Here is a 12446-nt window from a genome sequence, read left to right as displayed (position 1 = left end):
GTAGAGACAGGGTCCCACTATGATGCCCAGGCTGGTCTTGAGGTTCTGGGCTAGAGCCAGTTTCTCCTGCCTCGACCTCCCAAAGTGCTGAGATTGCAGGTGGGAGCCACCGCACCCACGCCATTCATACTCTTTTTACAGAAAAAATAAGTGAACATTTTTACTCCAAAAATAGATAATATTCCCCACACCACTCTTCTCCAGCCATCACCACCATAGCCATGCTGAGAAATATTAGTGAGCTACACATTGTAATCTAAAGGTTTTTTTTGTTTTGTTTTGTTTTGTTTTGTTTTTGAGATGGAGTCTTGCTCTGTCACCCAGGCTGGAAGTACAGTGGCACAATCTCAGCTCACTGCAACCTCTGCCTCCTGGGCTCAAGCAATTCTCCTGCCTCAGCCTCCTGAGTAGCTGGGATTACAGGTGCCCACCCCCACACCCAGTGAATTTTTGTATTTTTAGTAGAGACAGGGTTTCACTATGTTGGCCAGGCTGGTCTCTAACTCCTGACCTCATGATCTGCCCACCTCGGCCTCCCTAAGTGCTGGGATTACAGGCGTGAGCCACCACCCCCAGCCGTAATCTAAAGTTTTGAATGTTCACTTCCATGTGCACATTTAATAATGTTTCTACTCTACATATTTCTAGCAGGAAAATAATAGTAGTTAATAGTTCGGTTTCATTTAAAACCAAGCACAGCAATTTACATCTCAGTTCTTACATTGGTTGCCTATCAGGTAGGTATATTATTATTTCCATTTTATAAATGAGGAAACACACAAAATACATGCTCAGTATGTATTTGGAGAATGTATAAATAAATGAGTAATTAAAATGTGAGGAGATGAACTCATGTGAATCATCTGGATTCATAAATCAGTTACTTTGTAGCCTGGAGTAGTGGAAAAAATGCTGGATTTGTAATCAGAAGCCTGGTTTTCAGGTATCTCTCTCCCACCAACTGTATGCATTATTTTGGACTCTGTTTCTTCTGATATTAAATAGAAATTATAATAATTTCTAACTCACAAGAATAACAGTAAAATTAAATGAGAGTGTCATGCTGAGATGCTAGACACTGTGTACAAATGTGATGCTGTACAAATACAGCCTAGCATTTATATTAATAAATACAAATATTATTAATATTAAGCATAGATTAAGAACTACTAACTTGTTTCCAAAATCTAATTTTCACAAGTCTCAAATGAATACGACTATTTGGATCTAGGTATTGTAATTTAATTGACTCCTAGCTAACAGCATAATTAAAATATACACTCACAGAGAAGTCCTTTTTATCAACTGAAGACAATTCCACAGGGTACAAGTTAATGTCCTTCTTCATTTCTGATTGCCTGTGATGATATGCCTGTCTCTAGAGTGTGATCAGGGCCAACAACCCCATTCAGGCATCCTCAATGGATTCCTAAATTCCCCTGCTCTCACTCACGTTCTTTCGGTCCTTAGTGTTCCAGAAGCCTGGGACACAAATGTTGTGCCCTGTGGTTTCCATGGTGACCCTTGACACACTTTTGGAACATATGTTTTCTGATGCCTAGTCCTGTGTAGAAACTCTAGAAGAAAATTATAATTTCAATAAACAGGAGACCTTTGGTTTCCATTTTTCCAACCAAAAATACTACATATGTATTGAACATATTATTAATGGTTGTTCTTGTTGTTATTAACATCAATAATTGTATTGATTCCCATGGGAGAAAAAAAATCACACTTCATATCTTCCACATACCAAGCCTTCCTACATGGAGTCTATGTTTTCTTCAAATGATATCTAAAGTAATATACCTGTATTTCTTAATGTAGGATAACAGTGATATGAATAATGTAACACACAAAAATAATGTCTACTTACCCTAAAATATATGTATTTTAGGTAAAATATTTCTCTTCATACCTATGTTTTATTTCCATAATATCAAATATACATTTTCTTTATATTTGTGTATTCATTCATTCAGTAAAAATTTACTATCTACTATTTGTCTGGCTCTGTGCTAGGTGCTAGGATTGCAACTGAGAATAAGGCAGAGTTCTATTCTTAAGGAAGTTACATTCTAGAAAGGGTTATGGATGAGCAATCAGGTTCCATAAGCAAGATACATGCTAGGCTGAAGTAAGCACAGAGCAGAGGGCTGTGTGGGCTGCATCAGACCTGAGGCATGAGGAAAGGGTTCCCTGCAGAATCCTTGTATAGACTTGAAGGTTGAATAGGAGTTAGCTAGGGGGAGGTAGCCAAATAGTAGAGAGAGCAAGGCGGGAGGGTACGTGGAAGGAGGAAGACACACAAGAGAACCCCAGGCGGAGGGAACAGTCTATACATAGGCCAGGAAACAGTAGAGAGAAAGGCCAGTTCAGGATTTGAAGCAGCTCCATTTGGCTCCAGCCCAGAGTATAAAAGAGAAGAGGAAGAAAGATCTTGGTAAGTTAGTCCAAAAATTTGGACTTTATCCAGAGGGCAATGGGGCACCAAAATGAAATACAGTTGACCCTTAAACAACACAGGGGTTGGGAGCACAGTTGCATATCCACATACAACTAAAAGTTAACAGCCTACTTTTTACCAGAAGCCTTGTCCATAACATAAACAGGTGATTAACACAGATTTTGTATGCTATATGTTATATATATGTTGTATTCTTATGATAAAGTAGGCGAGAGGAAAAGCAAGATTTTTCCAAATTATCACAAATCTCCAAAGATTTTCCTATATTTACTGAAAATAATACATGTGCAAGTGAACCTGTGCAGTTCAAATCAATGTTGTTCAAGGGTCAACTGTACATTAATGAGGAAAAGCCTAAAATCCCCAGGCTGGGATTTTAAAAATTGACAGAAAGAGTCTGCAAAATTGTTTAACTAATTGTAAATAGATTGGACTTTACTCCATGAATCCCCCCAAAATCAGAATTATAATGGGAATGTAGACAAACGCCCACAATAGCATGTTTCATTCTTTCTTTTTACCTCTCACCATTAAAAAGACAAAATACAACTTGCCTGGTTTTTGCAGAACATGATTAAGTACTTAATGGGAAGAATTGTCTTAGATTCCTGAAATTTAATTTGCCTGTGTTGGTGATAAATGTAGATAAGATAATATAGATAACTTCTAAATTGTAACTATTTTGAGTAAAAGGACCCTAAGCAAATGTAAAAAATAGAATATATAAGAATTACACTTTAGGCCGGGCATGGTGGCTCATGCCTGTAATCCCAGCACTTTGGGAGGCCAAGGCAGGTGGATCACCTGATGTCAGGAGTTGGAGACCAGCCTGGCCAAAATGGCGAAACACTGTCCCTACTAAAAATACAAAAATTAGCCGGGCGTGATGACAGGCACCTGTAATCCCAGCTACTAGGGAGGCTGAGGCAGGAGAATCACTTGAACCCAGGAGGCAGAGGTTGCAGTGAGCCAAGACTGCGCCATTGCACTCCAGCCTGGGCAACAAGAGTGAAACTCCGTCTCGAAAGAAAAAAAAAAAGAAAAAGAATTACACTTTAAAAATATATTATAATTAACTAACAAAAGTAATTTGGCATATGTAAGAACTTGATTTCTAAAAACCTTCTTTAAAAACTTTTAGAAATAATAAATTAATGTGAATGATTTGATTATTTTACATTGTAGAGGGCAAGTTAATGGTCCTTAAGGTATATGGAATAAAAAGAAAAAAAATCAGACCAGCACTACATGACATGTGCCCTGGGTCCCCACAGGGGCAGCCAATCCCAGCCTTGCTCATCTCCTCTTAAGTGAAAAACCATTCACCAGTGTGGAGATATAATTCTTATCTAACAAGCTCTATCTGTCTATGTATCATGGTGCCTTTCCTGGTGCTCTGGGACAGTTTGCTTAGTCAGGTTTTCCTGATGGACTTTAGCTCATCACTGCCATTTAAAGCATTTCTCTGAAAGTGACTTTAGTTCATGGAGCATCATTAACCAAATATTACCCGCTTGCTGGCAGGAAGACACACACACACATAAAATTTGACAAGAAGACCGCTGATTTTCCAAGCTAATTCTTTCCTATCACTTTAACTGTTCCTGGTCAGAACTTTGATTTCTGTCCCTAAACCTCTTCCTCCTCCAGACTTAGCCAGGTCAGTACATACTACCATCATTCATCCAATTGCTTAAGCCAACTCCAAGTTAAAAGTCACCTTTGGCCGGGCACAGTGGCTCACGCCTATAATCCCAGCACTTTGGGAGGCTGAGCTGGGTGGATCACTGGAGGTCAGGAGTTCGAGACCAGCCTGGCCAACATGGCGAAACCCGTCTCTATTAAAAGTACACAAATTAGCCAGGCATGGTGGTGCGTGCTTGTAATCCCAGATACTTGGAGGCTAAAGCAGAAGAGTCATTTGAATCTAGGAGGCAGAGGTTGCAGCGAGCTGAGATCACACCAGTACACTCCAGCCTGGGTGACAGAGCGAGATTCCATCTCAAAAAACAAAAAAAGTCACCTTTAATCTAACCGCCACATCCAGTCAATCCACATGACTTGCCTCTCTGCCTTCATATTGTATCCTGAATTCTTCTAATTTTATCTGCTTGGCAAACATCATCCCTTCCCCTGAACCTCTGCAATAGTGAAGAGCTGCAAAACTTTCATTTGTGTTTTGATCTGCAGGTAGGTCTCAAGAACTGTGGTCCAGTTGGAATTCTTCCACTGTTAGGTCCTTTAAAGGTCAGTGGGGAGGGGTTATTTATTTTAGTCAGTTCTTCCCTTCATAATTTCAAGAAGGTTGAAGAGTTACCTAGGTGTCCACTGCCTATGGTTGGTCTGTGATATGAAGTCATTGCCAAGTCTAGCTGCCTCTCCTGCCTTGCCTTACACATCCCCAACTCTGAATGCTGGGGCCTTGTGAACCCAGACACACATGCTGTCATGTGAAGAACGTACTTGCTTCCTCTCCTTTCCACCATGATTGTAAGTTTCCTGAGGCCTCCCAGTCATTATTCCTGTTAAGCCTGTGGAACTGTGAGTCAATTAAACCTCGTTTCTTCATAAATTATCCAGTCTTTACAGCAGTGTGAGGACGGACGACTACAGTTCTTGATGAAAAGATGAGTTAGTTCTTTCTCTCTCTCTGTCATGCTGTCTTTCTCCTTCTACTTTTCACCATGGGATGATGCAGCAAGGAGACCCTTGCCCTTGGACTTCCCAGCCTTCAGGACTATAAGAAATAAATCTCTGTTCTTTATAAATTACCCAGAGCCAAGTATTCTACTATAGCAACACAAAATAGACTAAAACAGAGGGGCTTCTTTGCCAGTTCATCAGTTGTAACCAACTATGTATGAATTACAATGGTGGGCATGGTTTATGCACAAACTGGAACCCCTGCTACTTGGTCATTCAGGAAAAAAATGATAAGGGTAGATGACAATAGGCATAGAAGGCCAAATTCAAGACATCTGTAGGAAATACAATTGACAGGATAGGCAAAACAGATGTAGGTAAAAGTTGAGGGGGAAATGAAGAGCCAAAGATAACTCCTAGAATTGTAACTCTTTCACTGACCGGCTGGTGATGCCATTTTCTAAAACAGAAGTGCAGGCTATTCATGGGAGGAAAAATGAACTCAGTTGTACTATCTAGAATTTGAAGTATCTGCTGGACAATGAGATGAAAATACATGTTAAGCACTTTAATGTATAGATTTCATGCTCAGGAGAGGCAGATGGGCTTGACTGACAAGTTTCAGATTCTCCAAAGGTTAGGCTCAATCTACATTGCGGAAAAGACAAGATAAGCATAGTGAGGTGATGAAGAGCATGTCCTCTAGAGACAGACTGAGTCCAAGTCCTGATCCCTCCACTTACTGCTTATGAGAACTTGGACAAATGACTAACCTCTCTGTGCCTCATTTTCCTAGTCTATAAAATGAGGATAATAAGAGTATCTACCTCATAACACCATAAAAATGAAACCAGTTTGTTTGTGAAGTGTTTAGGTCAGTATTCAGAACCTAGTAAACATTGTGTCTATCTCTTCCGAATAAAAATTTTCTCCAAGGAAGAGAGTATGAAATGAGAGATGAAGAAAACTAGAATTAGCCATGGAGAATATCAACATCTTAAAATGTAGGTAAAGAAAAAGGTATTTTTGATGTGGATAAAGAAAGAGGTATTCTTTTTTTTATTATTATACTTTAAGTTTTAGGGTACATGTGCACAACGTGCAGGTTAGTTACATATGTATACATGTGCCATGTTGGTGTGCTGCTCCCATTAACTCGTCATTTAACATTAGGTATATCTCCTAATGCTATCCCTCCCCTCTCTCCCCACCCAACAACAGGCCCCGGTGTGTGACGTTCCCCTTCCTGTGTCCATGTGTTCTCATTGTTCAATTCCCACCTATGAGTGAGAACATGCAGTGTTTTGTTTGACACATGCACACGTATGTTTATTGCAGCACTATTCACAATAGCAAAGACTTGGAACCAAGCCAAATGTCCAACAATGATAGACTGGATTAAGAAAATGTGGCACATATACACCACGGAATACTATGCAGCCATAAAAAATGATGAGTTCATGTCCTTTTTAGGGACATAGATGAAGCTGGAAACCATCATTCTCAGCAAACTATCGCAAGGACAAGAAAGAGGTATTCTTAAAAGAAAATGATAAGCAGCAGCTCCAAACGAGCTTTCTTTTCTCAAAAGACACCAAAACTGACACACTGAGACACAGAGGTGATAAAATATCAAGACCTAACTCCTGGTGCAAGATTCTCTGCAAGTTTAATGGGCTGTCTCTCAAGTAATTTTTATTTATTTATTTTTATTTTTATTTTCTTGAGATGGAGTCTTGCTCTGTCACCCAGGTTGGAGTGCTGTGGCGCAGTCTCGGCTCATTGCAACCTCCACCTCCTGGGATCAAGTGATCCTCCCACCTCAGCCCCCCAAGTACCTGGAACTACAGGCACATGCCACTGCACCCAGCTGATTTTTTTTTTTAATTTTTTGTAGACACAGCGTCTTGCTATGTTGCCCTGGCTGTTCTTACCCAGACTGGTCTCAAACTCCTGGGCTCAAGCAATCCTCCCACCTGGACAGTGCTGGGATTACAGGCTTGAGCCACCATTCTCAGCCTCTCAAGTAATTTTGGAAGTACAGTGTAACATTTTTAGGTTCTATAGGAGTAGAAAAAGGGAAGTATATCTTTAGCTACATTAAAGAGGGAATATTCAGTAATCCTTATCTACTTATAAAGAAGTTTCATATTTTAATAGTAATTGAGTGTGTTGTATTGGGAGAAATCAGTCTCTCAAGAGAAGTTAAATAACTACTCTGACCATAAAATAATCTGTCTACCTTACAGATCCTAGGTTGCATAATTAGCATTCATAAAGTATTTTTAAAAGAAAATCACTTATGAGCCCTAAGCATTACTGTGTAATTAATAATTTCCTAGACTTTATTTGATTAGAGATTACAGATGCAAAATTTAACATACCTGGCATGAAATCAGACTTTCGCTCTCATCCTCATATTCAGCAATGCTCATAGTGTGCTAATGCCATCAAAATGCCAGAAAAAATGTGCTTTTAAAAATAATTTAGTTTTTGGTAGTTCTCTACTGTTTCTACTCACATTTCCAACATCAAATGTGTAGGAATTTTCCATACCAAACAATTCTCCAATTCTCTGCCCACATCAATTGGGTTTCCTACAGTTCAACTTAATTGTAGGACACCCAGTTGGCGTGAGCACAGAAGTTACCTGGAGTTACCTGACACTATTTACATGGAGTTAGCATCAGATCTCACAAGTTAAAACTTCAGTACCACAAGACTGTGTCACTTCAGATGCCAGTTGCAAGTTCCCAGGTTACCAAAAGTAAAATTCTAAGCCCCCCAACAAACTGAATGGACCCCTCCTCTCACCCAAAGTCATTCCATAGTTAACCTGAAAAACTAGATCAGGCTGTGATGGCAAAGGAGGGGTCCAAACATGCCTCATTATACCCTCCTCCCTTTAGAATTCAGGTACAACTGACCAGTATTAACATTGAAACAGAGACCTAAAGATTGACCGAATAGACTCTTGTAGCAATAAGATACCAACATGACAGATAGCTAACCTTGAAAGGAATCAAAGTATTTTACCCCCAGATATATTTCTTTGACATATTTTGAAATGGCCCTGCAAAGCTGTCTATTGTGGGGAAAATCTACTTTCTGTAGAGAATCCTCTCCCCCTTTCCAGGTCTTTTCCCTGATCCAGGAGAGAATTAACTAAGAGTCTGGCACCTTTTTTAAGTCTGATAAAAAAAACATTTACAATCTAATCTCTCTGAAGCCTGCTACCTGGAGGCTTCCTCTACATGACAAAAACCTTGTTCTCCACAAGCCCTTATCTTAACCCAGACACTCTTTCATTCCTTTCTATTGATTCCAGGTCCTTTTTTTTTTTTTTTTTTTTTTTTGAGGTGGAGTGTCATTCTTGTTGCCCAGGCTGGAGTGCAATGGCGCGATCTTGGCTCACCGCAACCTCCGCCTCCCGGGTTGAAGTGATTCTCCTGCCTCAGTCTCCCCAGTAGCTAGGATTACAGTCATGTGCCACCACACCCAGCTAATTTTGTATTCTTAGTAGAGATGGGGCTTCTCCATGTTGGTCAGGATGGTCTCGTCCCAATCTCAGGTGATCCGCCCACCTCGGCTTTCCAAAGTGCTGGGATTACAGGCATGAGTCACTGCGCCCATCCTGATTCCAAGTCTTTAGATAATAACTTAACTTTTTCGACCAATTGCCAATCAGGCAATCTTTGAATCTGCCTATGACCTAGGACATCCCTCTCCCTACAAGTTGCCCCGCGTTTCCAGACCAAACCAATGTACATCTTACATGTATTGATTGAAGTTTTACATCTCCCTAAAACATATAAAACCAAGCTATAGTCTGACCACCTCAGGCACGTGTTCTCAGGACCTCCCTGGGGCTATGGCATGGGTCCTGGTCCTCAGATTTGGCTCAGAATAAATCTCTTCAAATATTTTCCAGAATTTTACTCTTTTCATCACCATTACCTATCACCCATAAGTCAGAGTTTTCCACAACCCCTTCCTCAGATTCAGTAATTTGCTAGAATGGCCACCAAACTCAGGAAAGTATTTTACTTACAATTACCAATTTATTATGAAGAACTCAAATCAGGAATAGCCAAATGGAAGAGGCATAGGGAAAGGTATGGAGGAAGGGGCACAAAGCTTCCATGCCCTGTGTGCACACCACCCTCTCAGCATCTTCATGTGTTCACCAACTCAGAAGCTCTTCAAACTTTGTCATTTAGGGGTTTTTATGGCAGTTCCACTATGTAGGCATGGTTGATAAATCACTGGTCATCGGTGATAGAACTCTGTCTCCAGCTCCTCTCTCTCTCCTCCCCAGAAGTCCTGAGGTGGGGCTGAAAGTTTCACAAGGTTAGTTGCTCTGACAACCAGCCCCTATCCTGAAGCTATTGAGGGGTCCCCCAAAAGTTACCTTAGTATGGTTGGAAGAGGCTTATTATGAATAACAAAAGATGCTCCTATTTTTACCACTAGGGAGCATATCCAAGTCTTGCGGGAACAAAGCATGTTACTGGTAGCAAATTCATACAGGTAGATAGCAATCTCAATTCTTGCCTTCTCAGAAGAAAGAATTTGACCAAGGGGGCATAAGGCAGAGTGAGGGACCAAGATAAGTTTTAGAGCAGGAGTGAAAGTTTATTAAAAAGTTTTAGGCAGGAATGAAAGAAAGTAAAGTACATTTGGAAGAGGGCCAAGTGGGCGACATGAGAGAGTCAAACACCATGCCCTGTTTGATGTTTGGCTTGGGGTCTTATATGATGACATGCTTCTGAGGGTTGCATCCTTCTCCCCTGATTCTTCCCTTGGGGTGGGCTGTCCGCATGCACAATGGCCTGCCAGCAGTAGGGAGGGGCCGCATGCACACAGTGTTTACTGACATTGTGCACATGCTCATTTGAAGCATTTTTCCCTTAGCAGTCGAGGGCTTAAACTCCACCATTTTGCCTCTTAAAGTGCATGCTTGAGCCCACCCACCCAACTTCTGAGATCTTACCTGGAAGCAGCTAATCACTAGTTTCAGGTGTTTCCTATCTATTGAGAGACTGCCTTTCCCTGGCGCTGGCTACAATCAATGATTATTTAGAGAGAAAGTTATCAACTGCATGACCATCATCTGATGGTCACCTGATGTTCCTGGTTGGGCGGTGGGTAGGGAGGTCTCATGCCCTGCTCTTGTCTGCCTACCTATAGTAACACTATCGCCCCTATCATTCAGGAAATTCCAAGGGTTTTAGAAGTTCCATGTCAGGAACTGGGGACAAAGATCAAACACATATTTCTTATTTATCACAGGTAGAAAAAGAAAAGAAGCCTAGGAATTACTTGCAAAAGGAAGCTTTCTGAGTCTTTCCATTTTCTAAAGACTTTGTTGCATTTGCCCAAAATTATTTAAGAAGGGGCCTTTAACTGCAAATATGCTAATTATAAACTGAAAGTATTTATTGTGTAGCATGGTGCATTTGAGCTTTATTAAGTTTTAGATTAAACCTAAATACACAGTGTCTTAATTTAATTTAAATTAAATTAAGATTTAAATTAATTTAAATCTGCTTCCCCAAGAAGCAGATTTTGAAACAAGAATTCAAGTGCAAGTAATTTATTTGGGATGTACAAGGAAACCATCTGGGAAGTGAAGAAATGGGGCAAGGAAGTGAAGGCAACTAATAGAGGGTGTGTCCTTGAGCCTAGCTACCACTGGCTTGGTGTGATATAAAACCACGAGCCTAAGAACTATCCCCACAGGAGCTGTGATATTTATCCACCAACTCCTGTCACCCATTGGTGGAGGGCTGCTCCTAGGGGTGTTAATTTCTGAGCATTTCCTTTGGTGCATGCAGGATTCAGAAGTTCTTAGGCACAAAGATGCAGATATTGGCAGGTGGAAGTCTTGGAAGCCAAGGGGAAGGGAGCATACAGTGTCAACGATAACAGAAAATCAAAATCAGAAAGAACAATTGTCTTTCGTTTTCTCAAATAGAATGTGGTTTTTCTGTTGCCTTTCATGCAAAAACTCCTCAAAATTTTTCTATCTTCTCTGCCTCTAATCCTTCTCCTCTCATTGTGTTTTTAACACACTCTAATCAGGCTCTGTACCCACTATTCCACCAGAATGTTCTTGTCAAGGTCACCAGTGATCCACAAGATGCTAAATTCAATGGCCAATTCTTAGTCCTCATCTTACTGGACCTATTACTAGCATTGATTGATTGATCAATTGAAACAGGGTCTCACTCTGTTGCCAAAGCTGGAGTGCAGTGGCACACTCATGGCTCAGTGCAGACTCAACCACTCCTCCCATCTCATCCTCCCAGGTAGCTGGTACCAAAGACGTAGAGATGGGGTCTCCCTATGTTGCTCAGGGACAACAAACTGGTCTCAAACTCCTAGACTCAAACGATCCTCTTGCCTTAGCCTTCCAAGGTACCGGGATTACAGGCATGGGCCACCACACCTGGCTCTATTTAACCGTTGTTTGCTTTCTCCTCCTCTGATCACTTTCCTTAATTGGCTTTCATGACATCATAGATCCTGGTTTTTGGTTTCCCTTCTGTCTCATGGGCTGCTGCTTTTTTAGACTCTCTCCTCATTTTTTGGGCTTTTTAAATTTGGAGTACCCAGGACTCAGAGCCTATACACTTCTCTATCTCAGCCACTCCCTTTGTGATGTCATGTAGTTATATGACTTTTAACTGTGATCTATATGTTTACTTGCAAATGTTTATCTCCAACCCTGACCTCTCTACTGATCTCCTGACATATATTTAACTGTATGCTAGACATTTTCACTTAAATGTCCAAAAGACCTTTCAAACTTAGTGTGTCTCAAAACAAATTCCTGATCTTTCCTCTAAAACTTGGTCCTTATGCAATCTTCCTCATCTCAGTTGATGACAACTTCACCTTTTTGGTGGCTTAGGCCAAAAGCCTTGGATTTATCCTTGACTCCCCTCTTTGTCCTATACCACATCTAATTTATAGCAATCCTCTGTTACCTCTATCTTCAAAATATATTCAGAACTGGAACAGTACTCCAGCAAGTGCCATATCCAAGCCACCATCATCTCTGAATAATTGCAAGAATCTCCTAGCTGGCTTCCCTCAGAGCAGCCAGAGGGATCCCTTTAGAATGCTAAATAAGGTCATATCACTTCTTGGCTCAAAAACTCTTTAATGATATCCCAAATCATTTGGAGTGAAATCATTCAGAACAAAAGCCAAAATCTGCTGTTGTTGTGTTTTCTTGAGACGGAGTCTCACTCTGTCACCCAGGCTGGAGTGCAGTGGTGCAATCTCAGCTCACTGAAACATCTGCCTCCCAGGTTCAAGCGATTCTCTT

The 12446-nt window shown here is 40.8% G+C and overlaps 1 protein-coding gene across 1 annotated transcript in view; it reads right to left on the bottom strand.

Moving 5' to 3' along the window:
• The window catches only part of CDC14A (cell division cycle 14A), a 175277-nt gene extending 173809 nt beyond the window's left edge, over positions 1–1468 (bottom strand). The window contains exon 1 of the mRNA NM_001319211.2: positions 1286–1468. The gene's annotated coding sequence lies outside the window, so the exon portion shown is untranslated. The remainder of the gene's footprint in view (positions 1–1285) is intronic.

Source organism: Homo sapiens, chromosome 1 (genome assembly GCF_000001405.40).
Source record: "Homo sapiens chromosome 1, GRCh38.p14 Primary Assembly".
Classification (NCBI taxonomy): Eukaryota; Metazoa; Chordata; class Mammalia; order Primates; family Hominidae; genus Homo; species Homo sapiens.
The sequence above is the reverse complement of the archived record's forward strand: the minus strand, read 5'-3'. Positions and strand labels throughout refer to the sequence as shown.